This window comes from Homo sapiens, chromosome 13 (genome assembly GCF_000001405.40).
Source record: "Homo sapiens chromosome 13, GRCh38.p14 Primary Assembly".
NCBI classification, from domain to species: domain Eukaryota; kingdom Metazoa; phylum Chordata; class Mammalia; order Primates; family Hominidae; genus Homo; species Homo sapiens.
This window is the reverse complement of record NC_000013.11, coordinates 112,799,480-112,820,152: the sequence shown is the minus strand read 5'-3', so window position 1 is coordinate 112,820,152 and position 20,673 is coordinate 112,799,480. Positions and strand designations below refer to the sequence as shown.

The following is a 20,673-nucleotide window of genomic DNA, read 5'->3' as shown; positions in this document are numbered from 1 at the left end:
GCATCACTAACTTGTCAACATTCACAGATGTGTGCCTGAGACAAACCAGAGACGAGAGTGGAGCCCGGCCCTGTGGGAAAGCGGAACTCCACCTTCCAAATCTACCAGAGCAGCCGCCGTGGAAACCCTTGTCCGTCAAAGAATGCATTTCTAACGCAACAAGGGAGGTGACCGTGGCCAAGGCATCCGCAGAGGCACTCACCTCACCACGGGGTCATTCAGGTCACTGTAAACGTTGATGCGACCCACGAACCTGGCGACAGAAAAGCCACGTTACTGACCGGACGCGCCCAGCGGCCCCCGGGAAGCGCGCGCCTGGCCCACCTGCCTTCTGTGAGCCACACGTCTTCACCTGGCCCGCTCCGTGTGCGGCTAAAGCAGCCCCGCTCCAGCCCCTTCCCTTGTCGTACTTTCTGTTCTGATCAGCTCATGGCTTCGGTGATTTTCCTTAACCCACAGTTTACAAACGTCTTCCGTAAAATAAAGAAAACTTATTCTTTTTTTTTCCCACAAATATGGTTCCACGAAGCCACTTCAAATATTTGTATAAAAAGCTACAAATCTGAGTGGTACAAGTCTATGAGAATAAATAAGTAATGTATTTTTGACTCAGTCTTAATCTTTAAGCAGTGATTTACATTCTCTTTCCAAACCACCACATGGCTGGACTACTTGGGGTGAAAAAGCAAGAGCAATGTTGAGGGCATAAAAAACCGTTTCTAAAGAACCCAAAGCTCCCGCTTACTTGTAGAGGTCGGGCTGGGGCTGCTCACACTCGATGGTGGCGTGAAGTCCGCCGATATCCTCCTCTGTGTGGAAGCCTTTGGTGTCCTGGACCGCGTAATGCGTCTACAAATGCACAAGACATGTGAGCTCACCGCCAAAACGGTCAACACAAACCCAGACGCTGGTGCCTCCAACCAAGTGATTACAAAGCCTGGCTGACCCTATGAGTTTGTAAATGTTTAATAGTTACAGAAAGATAAGGTACTACTGTTATTCCTGCACCTATCAGGTGCCAGAAAATTCTCATCCTTCCATTCTTACCCAGTGTCCTCCACTTAAAACTAACAGGACAGATAGCAATGCTCGAATTCTTCAAGGGTAGACACTGATTTATCTGTCATAGTAGTAGCTATTAATTAGGAAACAAATCCAGGACCTGAAATATCCCTTTCCTTTTACAGAACGCCCTGTTGTTTACGGGGAGCGGTCACAGGATCACTTCACTTCATTTTCACTTCTCGGCAACAACCTGCCTGTGCCCGTTGCTGTTGGGTGGCACAGGCCTTCTACTTAACTGTTCACATGGCCTGGGCCGGGGGGCTCCTCAAGCCTGTCTCAACGTGAGTTTTACCCAGAGCTTCTGAAGCACCTGATTCCTGGGCTCAGCCCTAGAGTTTCTGATGCAGTGGGTCTAGGGAGGGCCTGAGAACTGCACTTCTAATATGGTGCCCAGTGATGCCGATGCTGCTGCTCTCAGAACACATTTTGAGGCCTGGTGACCTCAGTAGCATCTGTGAGCACCAGCAGGTCGGCTGAAGGCCCACCTGAGGTGGGCATGAGGGCTGCACCGGCCCTGCCTTGGGAGGAGAGAGGAGAAACTTGTGCCCAGGGATCTGCGAAGAGGCAACAGCATCTCTGAATCCCTTCCTGTGTTTCTTTCTAGTGGAAGAGTATTGGACAAATAAAACACAGGAGTCAGAACAAATGGGAGAAACAATCACTGCATCATCACCAAGTGCACAAATCAGGGGGACACGGTCACTGCTCCGTCACCAAGCACACAAATGATCACCGTTCCGTCACCAAGCGCACCAACGGTCACCGCCCCGTCACCAAGCGCACCAACGGTCATCGCCTGTCACCAAGCGCACCAACGGTCATCGCCCCGTCACCAAGCGCACCAACGGTCACCGCCCCGTCACCAAGCGCACCAACAGTCACTGCCCGTCACCAAGCGCACCGACGGTCACCGCCCTGTCACCAAGCGCACACACGGTCACCGCCGTGTCACCAAGCGCACAAACGGTCACTGTTCCGTCACCAAGCACACCAACAGTCACTGCCCCGTCACCAAGCACACAAATCAGGGGGCGCTTATTTTCTAAATTCAGTAGGAATTTTCTAATCTTATCCTCACAAGAGCCCCTGAGAGATAGGGTTGTCCCCATTTCACAAATGTGAAGAGTCCAGAGAAGTGAACAGGCCTGTGCAGTCACGTGAGCCCCACGGGATCCAAACAGAGGTCGGGTGGACCCTTCCCACGCCCCTACTCTGCTTTTAAGGAAAGGGCTCAAATAATTCCAGTCCCTCAAGCTAAACAAAATGCACAAAAAGGACATTAGAGAACACAAAACTATAATGCAAACTGCAAAGCCACAAAAGGTCAAAGTGCAATAGCTGTTTTAACATCTTCCACAACTGCTACAACATTTCATCTGGACAAACATGGTGTATCTGGAGACCCACAGCATCTGTTCACTAGCATGGCTGGGACTCATCTGAGCCTGACCAGCCACAGTCTGCAGGGAAGGGGTGTAAAGGCAGCGACTGGCTGCAGAGAGTGTGAAGGGCTCACAGGGTCTCTGGGTGGATGGAACCTTAACCTCCTCCCAGGTTCCAGAGGGACCAACACCCGCTTACAGCGAATACCTGAATCATCCAGGGATTCCGACCCCCTAGAAACTGCTGACAATCTTTTAGGTTAGCGTGTTCATTCTCCTGGGATATGCTACACAGAAAATGTGAAAGCTAATTTAACTGAAAAAGATCCATAGGTTTTTCATCTATCAATTCATGATACATATCATGAATTATCTATGAAAGACTAGCATATCCTTCAGTGATTTTGTAAAGAAAATGTCTCTATCTCATAGTAGAAATGGCCTATATCCATACGTATTACCTAAATACCATTTTAGAGTTGCAATTTTGTGAGCTGATGACTTAGTTGAATCCACTGAGCTATGCTCACTTTCATAAACTCCTTAGAAACTTCAAGATTTTTTAAATAAGAAGAATCTTAAAATTAATGGTGCTATATCTTTTCTTGTATGATTGACAATTAAAATTCTTGTAGCATCAACTGCCTGTGCAGAATTTTATACTGAGTGCAGGAAATTACTTATGTAGTAATTTCAGAAAATCCTGACTAAGATACATTCACAAAAAGACACTCATTGAAGTAACAGGCAAAATCTAGAATCGTGTGTGACTTTTCACATAATTCTAGGCCAGTTTTCACACTAATTTTAACTAATAAAATGAAAATTCTTAAAATTCCAACAATCTATTCATTAAATCCTGAATTTGGTACATTAGCTAATTGACACAGGTTAACACTGAAGTTATTTTTGTTAACCTGAGGTAATTGGTTGTTACAGACATTGAGACTGGAAAGAAAAAGTGAAAAGGAAATGGGGAGGTGTAGGTCAAAAAACACAAGGTAGCATTATTTAGGATGAACTGTCCAAAAACCCAACGTACAACACGAGGACTAGAGCGGACAAGAGCGTGCTGGGCTCAGAGTTTTTGCCGCACTGAGTGGACAAGAGCGTGCTGGGCTCAGGGTTTTGCCGCATCGAGTAGGTTATGGCTGCTCCTGCATGGGTGCCAGGGGAGAGAATGGGAAATCAGTGAGATGTGGGTGTGTTAATTTGTTGCACTCTAATAACAATTTCACTATAAAAATATGTATCTTATAACATCATAATATATGCCTCAAATATACACAATACAATTTATTTTTAAAAAGGAAAAAGAAGAAAGTGGAAAATAGGAGGAAGGAAAAGTGAGGAAAAACATGGCTGGTGTAACTCCCTGGGTTACATGAAAACGGTGACTTTTCAAACAGGATGTTAGTTTCTGTGGCCGCATGGGCACAGTCCGAAGCAGGACAGGAAGATCCTGCCCTGGAGTCTAATGAAAAGGCCCCTTACTTTATGGCTGGATTCTCCATCCAAGCTGGCGGTGGTGACGTGGCACGTCCCATCTCCCCGGTTGCTGGAAAGGAAGATCAAGTCGCAGGGAAAGGTCTCGTCCTCCTTAACCATGACAATGTCCCCAACCTACAGGACAAAGCAGAAAGGATGGTCAATGGAAAGCCCCTCCGTGAAAGCTTGCCCGTCCTGTGGGACCGCTTCCCTCAAGCTGCTCATCTATTCACAGGAAGACACGGGGATGTGGACACGGTTTCAGGAAAAGACTCTTGCCAGACATTCTGCTGGGACCAAGGAAAGACCAGGTCAGGTTTCAATGTTCTAACTTCCGCAGCAAAAACACAGACAAACACCTGTAACAAGGTTATCTTTGATTCAGACCAAGACGACGAGTTGGAGTGTTCTGTGAGCGTGGCCAAGTGGGAAGTACTCCTGTGAGAAGCTTTGATCTAAATCTAGGCGTTTTATGAACCAGGTAATCGAGTTCTGAGAGCTTCCTGATCAACAGAACCAAGGCGCTGCCCAGATCATCAAAGCATGAGGACAAATAAAGCAAAAGTGGCAACAATGTTTCAAAAACTAAAGTAAAAATCAATCACAGAAAGTTGATCATGTGGGTTTTTAATTAAAGGTCATGGTCTAGTTTGTGTCTGTATCCATTTTATTTCATCAGTGAGGAAGGCATCTCAGTGGCCTGGGCTGTGTGTCTGAAGGGTGAGGAAGGCATCACAGGTCTGGACTGTGTGTCTGAAGGATGAGGAAGGCATTGCAGATCTGGACTGTGTGTCTGCCGGGTGAGGAAGGCATAGCAGATCTGGACTGTGTGTCTGAAGGGTGAGGAAGGCATCTCGGTGGCCTGGACTGTGTGTCTGAAGGGTGTGGAAGGTATCGCAGATCTGGACTGTGTGTCTGAAGGGTGTGGAAGGTATCGCAGATCTGGACTGTGTGTCTGAAGGGTGAGGAAGGCATCTCAGTGGCCTGGACTGTGTGTCTGAAGGGTGAGGAAGCCATCGCAGATCTGGACTGTGTGTCTGAAGGGTGAGGAAGCCATTGCAGATCTGGGCTGCATGTCTGAAGGGGAAACGATCATCAGAACCCTTGAGTGAGTCACTGCAGGGCTCCAGCCAGTCTCACTGCCACTCGGGAGGCATGCCAGGATCAGGGCGTCACCTGCTTCTGTCTACACTGCAAACAGAGGTCTCTGTCCCACTACACGATGGTCACAGCACACTGCGAATTTGTGAGACTTTAAAATCAGAGGGTTACTCTTCCCAAATGGACCTTTGGGTTTAGTAAAATCCCTATCAAAATCCCAGCAAGGATTTTTATAGATATAAATGAGCTAATTCTAAAACTTATATGGGAAGGCACAGGCTCTAGAATAGCTAAAACAACCTTGAAAAAGAAGATTGAGGGGGAAGGAATACGTATCCCCAATGTCCAGCCTTCTGAGACAGCTACAGTGACCAACAGTGTGGGATTGGTGGGCATGGGCATGGAGACCAATGGGACAGACCAGGGAACCAGAAACAGACCCATGCAAATGTGTTTAACTGACTGGGACAGAGTACAAGCGCCACTCCGTGGAAAAGGGACAGCCAGCCATCCCCTGGTGCAGGGGCGACAAGACAGCCACGGGCAAAATAATAAGGACAGAAACAAACCTGACTGAAACCTCACACCTTATACAAAAATCATCTCAAAATGGATCATGAACTTAAATGTAAAACATGAAACTATAACACTTTTAGAAAGAAACATGGGAGAAAGTCTTTGGGTCTAGGACCAGGCAAAGAATGCTTCATTCAGGACACTGAACGTACAGTCCTCAAAAGAAAAAAAAAAAATCAGCCAGGCGTGGTGGCTCACCCCTGTAATCCCAGCACTTTGGGAGGCCGAGGCAGGCAGATCACTTGACGCCAGCAGTTCAAAACTAGCCTGGGCAAAATGGTGAAACCCCATCTCTACTAACACTAAAAAATTAGACAGGCATGGTGGTGCACGCCTGTAATCCCAGCTACTTGGGAGGCTGAGGCAGGAGAATAGCTTGAACCTGGGAGGTGGAGGTGGCAGTGAGCCGAGATTGCGCCACTGCATTCCAGCCTGGGCAACAAGAGCAAGACTCTGTCTCAAAAGAAATAATAATTTTAAAAAAAAGAAAAAAAAAATCAAGAAATTGGACTTGAACAAAATTAAAAACGTTTGCTTTGTGAAATATCCTGCTGAGTATTAAAAATCATATATCTGACAAAGTATTACTATCTAGATTATATGACCTCTCAACATTTAACAGTAAAAAGAAGCTCAAAGAATCCAGCTAGAAAAATGGATAAAAGACATGAAGAGTTATTTTTACTGACAAGGATATGCAGATGTCAAACGAGCGTGAAAAGATGTCCCACAGAGCCGTCAGGGACATATTTAAGCTGCACCGAGACATCAGGAACAGCAGTAACACCCAGTGCTGGTGAAGATGCTGGCAACGTCGTGCGTGGGAATGAAATGGGATGGCCATGCTGGAAAACCATTTGGCAGTTCCTTTCAAAACCAAACGTGGATATGCTAGATGACCCAGCAATCCAACTCTTGAGCTTTTATGCAAAAGAAATGAAAACTAAATTCACAAGAAAACTTGCACACAAATATTCATAGCAGCTCTCTTGATAACAGCCCCAAACTAGAAAAATCGAAAAGCCCTTCAACTTGTGAATGGTGAAACTGCAGTACGCCCCCATCATGGAACGCTCCTTAGCAATACAAGGGAAGGAATGGCTGGTGCACAGACTTCGTGAATCCCGAGGGAATTAGACTGCCTGAAAACAGCCAACCCCAAAAGGTCACAGGCTGCAGGATTCTCTTTATATCATATCCTTGAGATGACAAAATCTTAGAGCTGGGCAGCACATCCGAGCAAATGGAACACAGGATGCCTGTGTTTTATTTCTTACTACCACATGTGATCCCGTAATTACCTCGAAATAAAAAGTTTAATTAAAAAAGAAAAACTAATTAAAGGACTGCTTTTCTAGGACGCTCTAGCACTCTCAAAGGCCTGAGCCATTACGACCGATGGAAGCTGGATGTCTGCCGTTGTAGGAAAAGCCTGATCTTTTCTTTCTCGTCCTGAGTAGCCTGTTTAGCATCCTCTTGGTTACGACACACAGGATACAGAGCTGGCATTTCCCACAGAAGACCGATACATTAAAAATTCAATTTTCTGTGGGCAGACACTGTTTAGGTCTATTTTTTAAGAAAGATGTTTAGCTACAAGTATGAAGGCTTTGCAAGGGAAATATAATCATTAAAGGAAATGGCGTTGAAGGCCTGGGACCGGATGCCTGCTGACACAGGCATGGAGCTCGCGGCTGTTCCCCAGGCCAGGGCCATCTGCTCTCTGAACCCCCGACCTCTAGGGAAACATCACTCATCTGAACTCACTGAAGGGAAAAGCTGTCTCAGAAGCATTTAAACACCTGGATAGCACGTTTATAAGTGAAAATGTTTAAATGCTTAAAAGTACATTTGGTGACGTGTGTGATACACAGAACAGTGAGAGCAAGGTGAGCGGTGGGGGGTTAGTGGTTGATGCTGGCTCCTCTGAAGGGCCTCTGAGTGCCTCCTGGGGTCCCGTCCCACTGGACAGGGAAGGGCTGCGGCCTTGTCCGGAGAGGTTCACTGAGCCCAGGCTGGCTGGGCTGCTTGGAGGCCCTCCCTCCAGGCTTCTGGAACGCACCTGGCTCTCCACATGCACAGGACTGGGGTGCTCCCTGCCTCCCTCACCAAACCTCCTACGGCTCAGCTGGGAAAACAGCCAGGGAGGCAGTGGGGCTGCACGAGGGAGGGAGGCGTGGGAGTTGGAAAGAGCCAGGCAGGGTGCACGAGGACCAGTGGGGGCAGGAAGGGGCCGGTGTGGGCCTGGCACCTAGATCCACATCAGATGGGGGACTGGAGCAGGCTGCTGACCGCTACCTTGACACAAACGTGAAAAACCACACTCATGGTTTCTACCTATAAAGGTGCTTCCAAATGACTAGTATAAGCTTGAAACTATCTCATTTAAATAATTTAATCACATATTTTGAAACATATTGAGATATTAGTTACACAGATAATTCATTTGAAACAGATTTAAAATGCAGCCTTCAAGAAGAACTGTAATATTCCCAACACAAAGAATCAATGTTTGAGGTGACAGACATCCCAGTTACCCCGACTTCATCATCACACATTGGTGTGCAGGCATCAAAATATCACATGGACCCCCAACTACGTACAACTATTATACATCAATAAAAAACAATTTTTTGGCCGGATGCGGTGGCTTATGCCTGTAATTCCAGCACTTTGGGAGGCCAAGGCAGGCGGATCACAAGGTCAGGAGATCGAGACCAGTCTGGCCAACATTTTGTTAAGACCCCATCTCTACTAAAAATGCAAAAATTAGCTGGGTGTGGTGGCAGGCGCCTGTAATCCCAGCTACTGGGGAGGCTGAGACAGGAGAATCACTTGAACCCGGGGGCGGAGGTTGCAGTGAGCTGAGGTTATGCTATTGCACTCCAGCCTGGGTGACAGAGCAAGACTCTGTCTCTTAAAAAATAAATAAATACATTTTTTTTAAAAAAATGCAATCTTCAATGAAGTTTTCTGTTCCAATTTTCATAAATTTCCACCTAGTCGAGTTTATATTGATATGATTTTATTATACTTTATTCTAAAACAAATTTTAGAAACAGTGTTTCCAATCTTTCTCTGTCTTGATTGGTTCGTGTGTTCCCATAATTTTAAATTCCACCAATCCTGGTGTGGGATGAAATTCCACCAATCCTGGCGTGGGATGCTGGTGATGGGGAGGCTGTGTGTGGGGATGGGGGTGGTGATAATAATTTTAAATTCCACCAATCCTGGCATGGGATGCCGGCAGAGGGAGGGTGTGTGTGGGGATGGGGGCAGTGATAATGATTTTATATTCCACCAATCCTGGTGTGGGATGCTGGCAGAGGGAGGCTGTGTGTGTGTGTGTGTGTGTGTGTGTGTGTGTGTGTGTGTGTGTTGGAAGGGGCAGTGGGTACATCCACCTAATGCTGCTGTGAACCTAAAACTGCTCTAAAAAGTCTATTAAACATAAACAAATAAAAATTAAAGGTAAAAAAAAAAAAAAGAAGTAGGGAGCTTGGGCCTACACCCAATAAAAAACATCTCAGTCTGTTTTGCCAAAGAAAATAAAAACTTAAAAACATTTATTATTTGTATTTTAAAAATGTTTAAGAGACAGGGTCTTTCTCGGTTGCCCAGGCTGGAGAGCAGTGGCTATTCACAGGCACGGTGAAGCCTCCTGAGTGGCCTCCGACTTCCAGGCTCAGCGATCCTCCTGCCTCAGCCTCCTGAGTAGCTGGGACTGGAGGCGCGAGCCACTGCACCTGGGTAAAACTTATTTTTTAAACAGTTACTGGACTTCACCAGCGTAAATGTGTCGGGTGTCACTTACTCGCAGCTTTCGACTTTGTTTCCGAACGAGCTTGCCGTGCTGAATGAAATGAACAGGACACTGGTTCATGGCATTGTCTGCTTTATGTCGAAGCCAGTCTTCATAACCCTAAAAAAAGGAAGGAAAGAAGGGAGAGAGGAAGCAGGGAGAGAGGGAAGGAGGAGAAAGGGAGGGAGAGACAGAAGGCTTGTGTTTAATTATGTCTAAGCATAATCCAAGCCTGTGGGGGTGTATTTTTCAGCATGAGGATGCACTACACACACTATCCTTGACAGAGCATCGGCATGTTCCATGGCAACGCGAGCTGCTTTAAATGTCTGCAGTTGTAGAACTTCGAAGACGTTGGAGAAAGATGCTCATCGAAGTGTGTATAAGTACTATACAACTGTACTTTTTGTGCCTATTCATGACATGGACTTAGGATAAATTCCTAAAAAAGAAGTGTCTGAATGAAATGATGAGCAAGCCTTCCAGGCTCTTCACATCCACACCGAAAAGCCCCGAAGACGTGGAGCCAGTTACATTTCCACCCGCTGAGTGTCAACCTTCCACTTGGAAAAGCCCCCACTGGCCATTCTTCTCTTTCATTAAAAACTGATTGTTATGAGATCTGGCAGCCCAGACTCTCGGTGAAACGCCGGCTCACTCTGTGACACCCGCAGCAGCCTTAAGGCTCTCTGTGCGTTTCCGCATCTGAGTAACCCACGCGGGAAACATCCCATCGTGACTCCCGTGCACGCACAGGCAGGGGGCTGGAAAAGCAGCCTGAGCTAACCCTGACCCCGGCCGCGCTGACGGACCTGGATGCCTTCCACTGGCGCAGACACGTGCACTCCGATTCCAACTACGAAGGCACACCCTCTGGTTGGACAGTCAGGTGGCATCTTGAAAGAAGCGACAATAGGAGATGCTGCACACAGATGATTCCTGGGATGACAAACGTGCCTTTGTGTTTGGCGTTGCTGGGTGCAGGTGCCTTAGATAAGGATGGGGAATGCCGTTCTCAGTAACAATCCCCAGCATGTGAGAGACTGCACACCAGGGGCCTATGGGCGTCCACGTCCACCGCATCTAATGAGTGTCGAAATTGGAAACACAGCTCTGCCACACACAACACACAACCACGCAGGATGGCAGCAGGAAGCCTGTGCCACGGGCCCACTGCATGTGTGCTGAGACACACAACCACACAGGATGGCGGCAGGAAGCCTGTGCCACGGGCCCGCTGCAGGTAGGTTGCAAGAGCCTGTGGGGCAGGAGGCTCACTGGGGACCTCCTCCCTGTGGGCCACGTGGCGGCATCAGTGGCCCTGTGACTGGAGTCTCCTCCGAAGGGAGCATAAACAAGTAACCCAAAACCTCCAGCTTCTGGAGAATTAAGAAGCCTGGGACGCATGGATATCCAAACGTGCGAGCTTTCTCCAGCTGTGACCATTAATAAGTGACACTGTGGCATCTGATTGCTTTTCAGAGATTCCTCCCAAATCGCTGAAATACTCTCTTTCTGGGGAAACTGAAGAACAGTCTTCCTGGAAGGTGGCAGTGGGTAGATGATTCCTGGGTTCATTAAACACACTTATTTAGCACCAACTGCATGCTCAGCAAGTGCCAGGCACCAGGGGCCCACAGACGAAAGACCTTGTCCCCAGAGCTGCTGCTCTCAGGATTGGTGGAGAAGAAACAGAAATAACTGCAAGTTCAATGCAGGTGAGAGACACCCAGGATCCCCGAAAAGCCTAGCGCCCGGGCTGCGGGAAGACGCCAAAGAGGAGGTGCCCAGGAATGCCCAGCGGTGAGGGAGTCCCCAGGGGCTGGCACTGCCCACCAGCCAGCCTGGCTGGGACGGGAAGGACACGTGGAGGCCCATGCATGTGATGGGCTGATCGGAGGGGCCCTGCACATAGCAGGGGAGGCTGGGTGCCACAGGGAAAGGCCGCTCTGGCAGGACCTGGGCGATGGCGGCGGCAGAGCCAGGTACAGTGAGATGCCCGTCAGTGCCCAGCGGAGACAGCGGGGAGATGGTGTGAAAAGAGAGGCGGGGACCTAAGAGAAAATCAGGGAGGCCTCTGTGAGTGCAGGGGGCTTTCCAAGGCAAGCGAGGAGGGGCCGGGAGCATGGGGACCCCAGCACAAACAGCCCTGCTGGAGCCACAGTGTGGGGAGGCCATTTGGGAAAGTCCCAGCTGCGGACAGAGGCGCTGTTCCCAAGGAAGAGGGACAAGGAGGTCAGTAGTGGGGGAAGGTCGAGGGGGTGGGGGGGCTCTGGCACACACAGGTCCAGACCAGCAGTAGGGGAAGCAAGGCCATCCCCAGAGTGAAAGCTGGGTAGCAGGACGCGCGGGAGAGGAAGAGACCCCTCTGGGCAGAGGCAGGGGTGCTGGTGATGGGGCCCAGAACTGCAGCTCTGTTCATTTGCCGCCTTGCCCTGACCCCCTCTTAACATCCCCAAAACGCCCGCCCACTGCCCTGGGATGGGAGGGGACACAGCCAGGGAGGGGACATAGCCAGGCCGATGGGAGGGGACACAGCCAGGGATGGGGCACAGCCGGGCCGAGGACACCACATGTTGTCTGGGGCCGTGGTCTGCACAGTGTAGAGAGGCAGCCTCTGCATCCATGGGGGCTCGGGCTCCCCGGCCGCTGCCTCTCTGGCCCAGATGCGTCTTCAGAGCCGCCCTCCCTACTCCACGCTCTCCTCTCCTCTCCTCCAGGACACTCCTGGAGATCTCAGGAGTTTCCTGCTCAGTAGAGTCCCGGGAGGGATGGAATCCTTAACAAATGCAGAGAAGAGGACGCTGAAGAACAGTGCTACGCCTGCCTCCTGGGGCCAGGCTGGAAAGAACAGAGCCATAGAGCCTCAGCCCCTTGTTCTGCACCCCCGCGCCCCTTCTCTCTGCTCCCCTTGAGAGGCTCAGGGGTCTCCTTCCTGTCTGCAGCCTCTGCTCCTACCACACAGATGTATCACAGATAGCACGGGACGCCCTCACCTAATCTCCACGATGGGTTCCTGGAAACTGTGACTTTGGGCCCGAGGACACATGGCAGGTCCCCGAGTAACATCGTTTCCTTCAGCACCATTTCCTTGTGAAGTTGATGAGAAAACCCATCGTTTTGCTTAAAGTTGAAGTTTGCAAGAGCCTGCCACCGACATGAAGTGAGGCCTTATCCCAGGTAGGAGTTAAACTGCCTGAGTCACAGGCAGCGCGTCCTTGGGAAGCGTGAGTCTCCCTCATGTTCTGTTCTCCAGGCAGCACAGTTCGTTTCGTTACTGTGCTGTGTTCTGCCATGCACCGCGGCGGAGCTGTCCATTTCCTTACGGAGGGACACCAGGTTGCCCGAGTCCTTTGCTAATCAATGACAGCCACCATGAATATCCTAGTTCACGTATCCCGGTAGGCACGGCCGGCTCTGGCCTAGTGAAGACACACAGGCCCCATGTACTGACTGCACAGCTGCATGTTTATCATCTGCACTGGACCCTGTGTGTCCCCATCTCTGCCTGTGTCAGATGTTGCCAACTGCTGTGCTTGGTGGCTCCGCCACGCTCCTGCCGGCGGCCCGTGGTGCCTCCCTCGCCATGCCCTCTCCAGCCTTTCACATCTGAAAGCCAATCTGGTGGGTGTGAAACACAAATGTTCTCAGCAGCATTATTCAGAACAGCCAAAGAGTGGAAACACCCCAAATGTCCATCCACAGAGGACGCGTGATACACAAAATGCCAGGTATGTGCAGGGGACCGTGACTCATTCATCAGACGGAATGAAGCGCTGACGCCTGCTCAGATGCAGAGAAACCTTGAAAACATCATGCTGAGTGAAAGAGCCAGTCACAAAACACCGCCTATGAGCCGTGAGTACGAAATGTTTAGAATAGGCGACTCTACGGTGACAGAAACATGAGTCTTTGCCAGGGACGGGGAGGAGAAAATGGGGAGGGACTGAACACGTGTACAGGGAATCTGGGGGTGATAAAATGGATACGTAGAGAGTAAAACTGAGATGTATTCTTCTCCATGTTAGTCACTGGCCTTATTTACTGGGGCTATGAAAAAAAAAAGCAAAACCAAAAACAAACAAACAAAAAACAGCATCCCATTTGCTGGAGTCCATAAACAGCATGTTCTGTGGTGGTCAAGACAGTCAAGGATACAGAAAGGTTAAGTGACTCATCTGATCAGATCATCTCTGGGTGATTTGGGATGTGAAAACCACAGATTTCTTCTCGAACTCGCATGGTGCCAGACTAGCAACTAAATTATATAACATCTCTTATTTCGCTTCAAGTATCAATCTAACGCAGTTATAAAAATGAATTTCTAGAACTTGGTTGAATTTTCTGTGAACTAGCTACAACAAACCAATCACCTCGCTTTGAATGAAAGGCAATTCACATGGTGAAGATGACGATTGCTTCTTTTTCGTCTGTAAAATGCTTACCTGTTTGATAGCCGTCACAGTAATGACAAAGAAGAGTGGAAGTCCGCTTGTCACTGGACTTGTGGGTGTATCAATAATCAACTGCAGAAAGAGAGAATTGTAAAATCATCTTCAAAAACACAAATGAGTGACTTCAGGCAGGTTAGTTTGCCCTGAGCCAGCACTTCCCATTCGCTTTGACTTATTTAAAGACCTTTGCTGGCACCTGACTGCCCACCACGGGAGATAGCAAGTCAATCGTCCTATTTCACTGACTGTTAAAATGAGGGCACCTTTTTTAAATTAAGGAACATGCTCAAGGAAACCACCGAGAGTGGCAGACCCAGTCTGAAGTCGGGGCACGCCTTGTATTAATTCACCCCACGGCCTCAGTGTCACATTTTAATTACATGATTTGAATAATTTAATGTTGGAAAAATTTTTAAAGTCCTTCAGTAGCATTTTGTATGATTTAGAAAAATTAGAGTGCTGTTCTTAAAACACATTTGGCACATTGCTCCCTAACTCATACCCCGAGATATTTTTTCACTCTTTTTTTTCTTTCCTTTAAACTCTCTTTTCATGTGTACTGTCTTTGGATTTTCTTTCTTTCTTTTTCTTTCTCTTTTTTTTTTTTTTTTTGAGACAGTCTCGCTCTGTCGCCAGGCTGGAGTGTAGTGGCACGATCTCAGCTCACTGCAACCTCCCACTCCTGGGATCAAGTGATTCTCCTGCCTCAGCCTCCCGCGTAGCTGGGACTACAGGTGTGCACCACCACACCCAGCTAATTTTTGTATTTTTAGTAGAGACAGGGTTTAGCCATGCTGGCCAGGATGGTCCCTATCTCTGGACCTCGTGATCCTCCCAGAGTGCTGGGATTACAGGCGAGCCACTGTGCCCGGCCTGGATTTTCTTTAGAGCATCCACACACACTTAGGAAGAGTAAATTAAGTGTAACGATGCATAGCTTGGCAGTGAACTTGTCCAAATGATGACAAAGCTCTGATTTCCCCTCTGGTACTAGAAGGAAAGGGGCAGGAAAGGCTGTCACCAACTTAAACCCAAAGTAGCGTCGTGTGTAGTTTAGCTTGTGTGGATCTCACAGAACCAAGACATTTTGCCCTTCCTTAAGAAAATAAATAAATTAATCATAGGTGAGGGGCACCATGTCCTTGCTCTTTCATTAGCCGTGTGGCAGTTACCTGAGAATAAAATGTCACTTATTTAGATTTATATGTGATGAGATGGAAAACAATGACCGGCCTTACCTGCACCAGAAATATGATAAGGAAATAAAAGTTGGCTACTCTTCTGAATTGTTCAAATAAATTCTTGGGTATAAAGTTCCAAAATGTGTACTGCATAAAAGAAAAACAAACATCCATCATTGAGATCAGATTTTACTCTTGTAGTGTTACTCTAGGGCATAGTAAGTAGCACTGGATTTTACAGTACAAAATGTTTAGCTTTAGATATAAAACTCATAATTCATAATTTAGAGTGTTTGTTGACAGCTAAGACAGCTTAAACAAAGTGTGTACTCTGAAACACGTATGTAAATTACCTAACTCCAGAGAATTCAAGATAAAACGCAAGGTAGCTCAACAATAGTTTGATTATTAAGATGTCTTTTATAAAACGTAAACCTGTGATCATTAACTCAACACATTAGCATTTTACTTCAGTAATTTCTGCATGATCTCTCCTCTGAGTGAGAGCATGACAGCGAGCTGAATGGAAGCCTTCACCCAGCTCCAGGCAGCTTCTGAGGCAGGCGTGTTTCTTGTCCACAGCTCAGGCACAGGGGCTTTGAGGCCTCAGGGGGAAGGACAGGAAAAGGAGGGGAAGGAGGGCAGAGAGGGGATGGGGGGGAGGGAGGTGAAGGAGGGAAGGAGGAAAAGGAGGGGAAGGAGGGCAGAGAGGGGATGGGGGGAGGGAGGTGAAGGAGGGAAGGAGGGGAACGAGGGCAGAGAGGGGATGGGGGGAGGGAGGTGAAGGAGGGAAGGAGGAAAAGGAGGGGAAGGAGGGCAGAGAGGGGATGGGGGGAGGGAGGTGAAGGAGGGAAGGAGGGCAGAGAGGGGATGGGGGGAGGGAGGTGAAGGAGGGAAGGAGGGGAAGGAGGGCAGAGAGGGGATGGCAGGGAGGGAGGTGAAGGAGGGAAGGAGGGCAGAGAGGGGATGGGGGGAGGGAGGTGAAGGAGGAAAAGGAGGGGAAGGAGGGCAGAGAGGGGATGGGGGGAGGGAGGTGAAGGAGGGAAGGAGGAAAAGGAGGGAAGGAGGGCAGAGAGGGGATGGCAGGGAGGGAGGTGAAGGAGGGAAGGAGGGGAATGAGGGGAATGAGGGAAGGAAGGGAAGAAAGGAGGAAAAGGAGGGGAAGGAGGGCAGAGAGGGGATGGGGGGAGGGAGGTGAAGGAGGGAAGGAGGGGAATGAGGGAAGGAAGGGAAGCAAGGAGGAAAAGGAGGGGAAGGAGAGGAAGGAGGAGGAGGGGAAGGAGAGGAAGGAGGGGAGGGAGGGGAAGTAAGGCAGGGAGGGGAGGGAGAGGAAGGAGGGAAGGAGGGGAATGAGAGAAGGAGGGGAAGGAGGTCAGGGAGGGAAGGAGGGGAATGAGAGAAGGAGGGGAGGGAGGGGAAGGAGGGAGAATGCCCAGCCACCACAGCATCTCCTCTCCACACTTCTCATTTTGCTTCTGTAGCAGTTTCATTCAACTTCTGTGTTGAAAACAACAACGTCCCAGATGTCACGAACCTTCACTGAGTTTGGAAATAGTTTCTGAAATTTCATCTGACATGTTTTTACGCCGTAATGAAGACAGTCTACCGAAACCTGAAGAAGGTCTCACAGCCTGTGCTGCGGCCTCTGCCATCTGTGTGTCTCTTCAACGGGGCTTATTTCAAAATCCCATTCGAAGGTGGGTTCTGGCTCCTGGAAGCCAGAAGTAGTTGTCAAATTCTCATACCAAGAATTTCTTTAATTCCAGGCTCATGAATATAAGTTATTTACAATTCAATGTAACAACTAAAGCCTGGTATGGTCCTAAACTAACCAACATGTTCTGAATTTGGTGTTTACAAATATTTCAGAGGAAATCCATGTGCGTCTTTTAAAACTTCTCTGCCTCAAGTTTCCAGTGGCTTAGAGAGTATATAAGGAATTTCCATTTTCTATTCTAATTCACATTTACAAAGTGATTTTACCTTTCACAATAAAGTTCCTTAATGAGGGTAAAAACAGAGTAGTGGCTCCCCCCAGTTCATGACAACTACGGCCATATTTTCAGTTCCCATCTCAGGTTGACTGTAATAAAAAAGGCAAGGGGAGCTCCAGAAGAGAGTCTCTGGAGTTTTAAAAAAGAAACTAACTTTCCATGTCCTCCCTAGGTCATCCCGCCCTACCCATCCAAACACCCTTATTTTCCATGTGTTGTTTGATACCAGGTTTTTATCAGATGTGTGTTTTGCAAATCTATTCTCCCAGTCAGTGGCTCATATTTTAATTCTCTTAACTGTATTTTGCAAAGCTCAAGTTTTTAATCTTCACGAAGTCCAACTTATCAATTTTCCTTTCATGAACAGTGTTTTTGGTGTTATCCAAAAACTTGTTGCCAAACCCAAGGTCACCTAGACTTTCTCCTACATTTCTACAAGTTTCATTATTATACATTTTACATTTAGGTCTATGACTCACTTTGAGCTAATTTTCTTGAACGGTGTGTGATCACTGTCTAGAGTCACTGTTGCTGGGTTTTTTTTTTTTTTTTTTTTTGCATGTCCAGTTTTTCTAGCACTATTTGTTGAAAAGAAATAGTGCTTTTCTGTCTGCCCTGAATTGCCTTTGCTCCTTTGTCAAAGATGGGTTGACTATCTGGGTGAATGGGTTGACTATCTGGGTGGATTTACTGGGTGGATCTACTCCCAGGCTCTCTATGATGTTTCATTGATCTATTTGTCTATTCTTTTCTTTTTTTTTTGTGAGACGGAGTCTCGCTCTGTTGCCCAGGCTGGAGTGCAGTGGCGCGATCTCGGCTCACCGCAAGCTCTGCCTCCTGGGTTCGCGCCATTCTCCTGCCTCAGCCTCCTGAGTAATTGGGACTACAGGCGCCCACCACCACGCCCGGCTAATTTTTTTTGTATTTTTAGTAGAGATGGGGTTTCATCGTGTTGGCCAGGTTGGTCTCAATCTCCTGACCTCGTGATCCGCCCGCCTCGGCCTCCCAAAGTGCTGGGATGACAGGTGTGAGCCGCCACGCCCAGCCGCTATTTCTCTATTCTTTCAGCAACACCACACTGTCTTGATTACCGTAGTTTTACAGTAAGTCCTAAAGTGGGCTAGTGTCAGTTCTCCAACTTGGTTCAATACTGCGAGGCTATTCTGGGTCTTTTGCCTTTCCATATAAATGCAGAATCAGTTTGGTGATATCTAGAAATTAACTTGCTGGGAATTTGATTAGGACAGGTCAAAGTGGGAAGAACTGACATCTTAAAAACATGGAGTTTTCCCATCCATGAACATGGAACATCTCTCCATTAATTTAAGTCTTTGATTTCGTTACAGTTTTGTCGTTTTCCTTACCTAGACCTTGTACATATCTTGTTAGATTTATACCTGTGTAATTTGGTGGGTGGGGGGGTTAAATGTAAATAGTGTTGTTTTCAATTTCAAATTCCAACTGTTCATTGCTGGCATATAGGATAGCGATTAATTTTTGCATCCTGCAACCATGCTATAATCGCCTCTAACATCCAGAAGTTTTTTTGTTATTGTTGGTTCTTTGGGATTTTCTGCATGGACAATCATATCACTTGTGAACAAAGATAGTCTTATTCCTTCCTTCCCAATCTGTAGGACTTTTATTCCCATTTCTACTCTTACTGTATTAGCTAGGATTTCCAGTACAATGCTGCATAAGAACAGTGATAAGGGATTTCTTGCCTTTTTTCCAATCTTAGGGTGAAATCATCTCGTTTTTCACCATTAAGTATGACGTCAGCTGTAGGCCTTTTATTCCCATTTCTACTCTTACTGTATTAGCTAGGATTTCCAGTACAATGCTGAATAAGAACAGTGATAAGGGATTTCTTGCCTTTTTTCCAATCTTAGGGTGAAATCATCTCGTTTTTCACCATTAAGTATGACGTCAGCTGTAGGCCTTTTATTCCCATTTCTACTCTTACTGTATTAGCTAGGATTTCCAGTACAATGCTGAATAAGAACAGTGATAAGGGATTTCTTGCCTTTTTTCCAATCTTAGGGTGAAACCATCTCGTTTTTCACCATTAAGTATGACGTCAGCTGTAGGGCTTTTCGGAGATGCTCTTTATGAAGCTCAGGAAATTCCCCTCTGTTTTTAGTTTGCTGCAGTACATGAGTGGGTAGTGAATTTTGTCAAATTCTTTTTCTGCACCTATTGATATAATCATGTAAGTTTTCTTTTTTAGCCTGTAAATATGGGTTATATTAGTCGATTTTCAAATGTTGGATCAGCCTTGCATACCTAGGATAAACCCACTTGGTCATGGTGTATAATTCTTTTTATACATTGTTGAATTGGACTTGCTAATATTTTATTGAGAATCGTTGCTTCTATGTTCATGAGAAATACTGGTGTGTGATATCGTCTTTCTGGTAATATCTTTTTCTGGTTTTGGTTTTAGGGTAATGCTGGCCTCATAGAACGAATTAGAAAATGTTCCTTCCGCTTCTATTACCTGGAAGAGATTGTAGAGAATTGATTTTTTTTTTTTTCCTTAAATGTTTGGTAGAATTCACCAGTGAAAACATCTGAGTCTTGTGCTTTCCGTTTTGGAAGAGTATTAATTACGGATTCCATTTCTTTTAATTGATGTAGGCCCACCCAGATTATATTTCTCCTTGTTTGAGTTTTGGTAGATAGCGTTTTTCAAGAAACTGGCCAATGTTATCTAAGTTACCAAGTTTATGGGTGTAGGGCTGTTCATGATATTCCTTTTAATCTTTTTATTAGCCATGTTACCAGTAGTGATGCCCCTCCTTTATTTCTGATGTTTGGAATTTGTGTCTCTTTTCTTTTCCTCTTGTTTAGCCTGGCTAAAGTTTTATTGATTTTATTGATTTTTTTTTTTCAAAGAACCAGCTTTTGATGTTTAAAATTTTCTCTGATTTCCTGTTTTCAATTTCATTAATTTCTGTTCTAATGTTGATTATTAATTTTTTGTTAAGTTTCCTAATGTTGAAGCTTGTAGATTTTGGATCTTTCTTCTTTTCTAATCTATGTAGTCAATACTATAAATTTCCCTCTAAGCACTGCTTTTCCTGCATCCCACAAGATTTGATAAGTTATATTTTTTGTTTAGCTTAAAATATTTTTATGCCTCTTGAGACTTCTTTGGTTCATGTGTTATTTAGTAGTGTTTTGTTTAATCTCCAAATATTTTGGGATTTTCCAGTTAACTTTGTTATTTATTTATTTCTAGTTTAATTCTACTGTGGTCTGAAAGAGTACTTGGTATGATTTCTATTCTTTGAAAAGGTGCTAAGGTGTATTTTATGGCCCAGAATGTGATCTGTCATGGCAAATGTTCCATGTGAACTTGAGAAGAATGTGTGGTCTGCTATTGTTGAATGAAGTATTTTATAAATTGTGAGGCCTCTGAGCCCAAGCTAAGCCTGTGACCTGCACATATACACCCAGATGGCCTGGAGCAACTGAAGAACCACAAAAGATGACATTCCACCTTTGTGATTTGTTCCTGCCTCACCCCAACTAATCAATCAACCTTGTGACATTCCCCCCTGGACAATGAGTCTCATGACCTCCCCACCCTGCACCTTGTGACCCCCGCCCCTGCCCACAAGGGAT

At 46.7% G+C, this 20,673-nt stretch overlaps 1 protein-coding gene across 13 annotated transcripts in view, besides 4 other annotated features; it reads right to left on the bottom strand.

Moving 5' to 3' along the window:
* The window catches only part of ATP11A (ATPase phospholipid transporting 11A), a 197,131-nt gene that overhangs the window by 67,016 nt on the left and 109,442 nt on the right, over positions 1-20,673 (bottom strand). For all 13 annotated transcript variants that reach the window (NM_015205.3, XM_011537480.3, NM_001405663.1 and 10 more), the window contains exons 3-8: positions 15,107-15,196; positions 13,860-13,940; positions 9,427-9,534; positions 3,942-4,070; positions 746-849; positions 203-253 (exon numbers count right to left, since the gene is read on the bottom strand). In NM_015205.3, coding sequence (NP_056020.2) covers positions 203-253; positions 746-849; positions 3,942-4,070; positions 9,427-9,534; positions 13,860-13,940; positions 15,107-15,196 — 563 coding nt within the window. The remainder of the gene's footprint in view (positions 1-202; positions 254-745; positions 850-3,941; positions 4,071-9,426; positions 9,535-13,859; positions 13,941-15,106; positions 15,197-20,673) is intronic.
* Positions 10,795-11,474: an enhancer, noted in NCBI's record as "H3K27ac-H3K4me1 hESC enhancer chr13:113462993-113463672 (GRCh37/hg19 assembly coordinates)". NCBI's record gives its function as "activates a minimal SCP1, AML or CMV promoter by ChIP-STARR-seq in primed H9 embryonic stem cells {active_cell/tissue: H9 hESC(primed)}" and the evidence as "EXISTENCE:reporter gene assay evidence [ECO:0000049][PMID:30033119]".
* Positions 12,838-13,519: an enhancer, noted in NCBI's record as "H3K27ac-H3K4me1 hESC enhancer chr13:113460948-113461629 (GRCh37/hg19 assembly coordinates)". NCBI's record gives its function as "activates a minimal SCP1, AML or CMV promoter by ChIP-STARR-seq in naive H9 embryonic stem cells {active_cell/tissue: H9 hESC(naive)}" and the evidence as "EXISTENCE:reporter gene assay evidence [ECO:0000049][PMID:30033119]".
* Positions 16,509-16,748: an enhancer, noted in NCBI's record as "active region_8035". NCBI's record gives its function as "activates an Ori minimal core promoter by ATAC-STARR-seq in GM12878 lymphoblastoid cells {active_cell/tissue: GM12878}" and the evidence as "EXISTENCE:reporter gene assay evidence [ECO:0000049][PMID:35858748]".
* Positions 17,575-17,824: an enhancer, noted in NCBI's record as "active region_8034". NCBI's record gives its function as "activates an Ori minimal core promoter by ATAC-STARR-seq in GM12878 lymphoblastoid cells {active_cell/tissue: GM12878}" and the evidence as "EXISTENCE:reporter gene assay evidence [ECO:0000049][PMID:35858748]".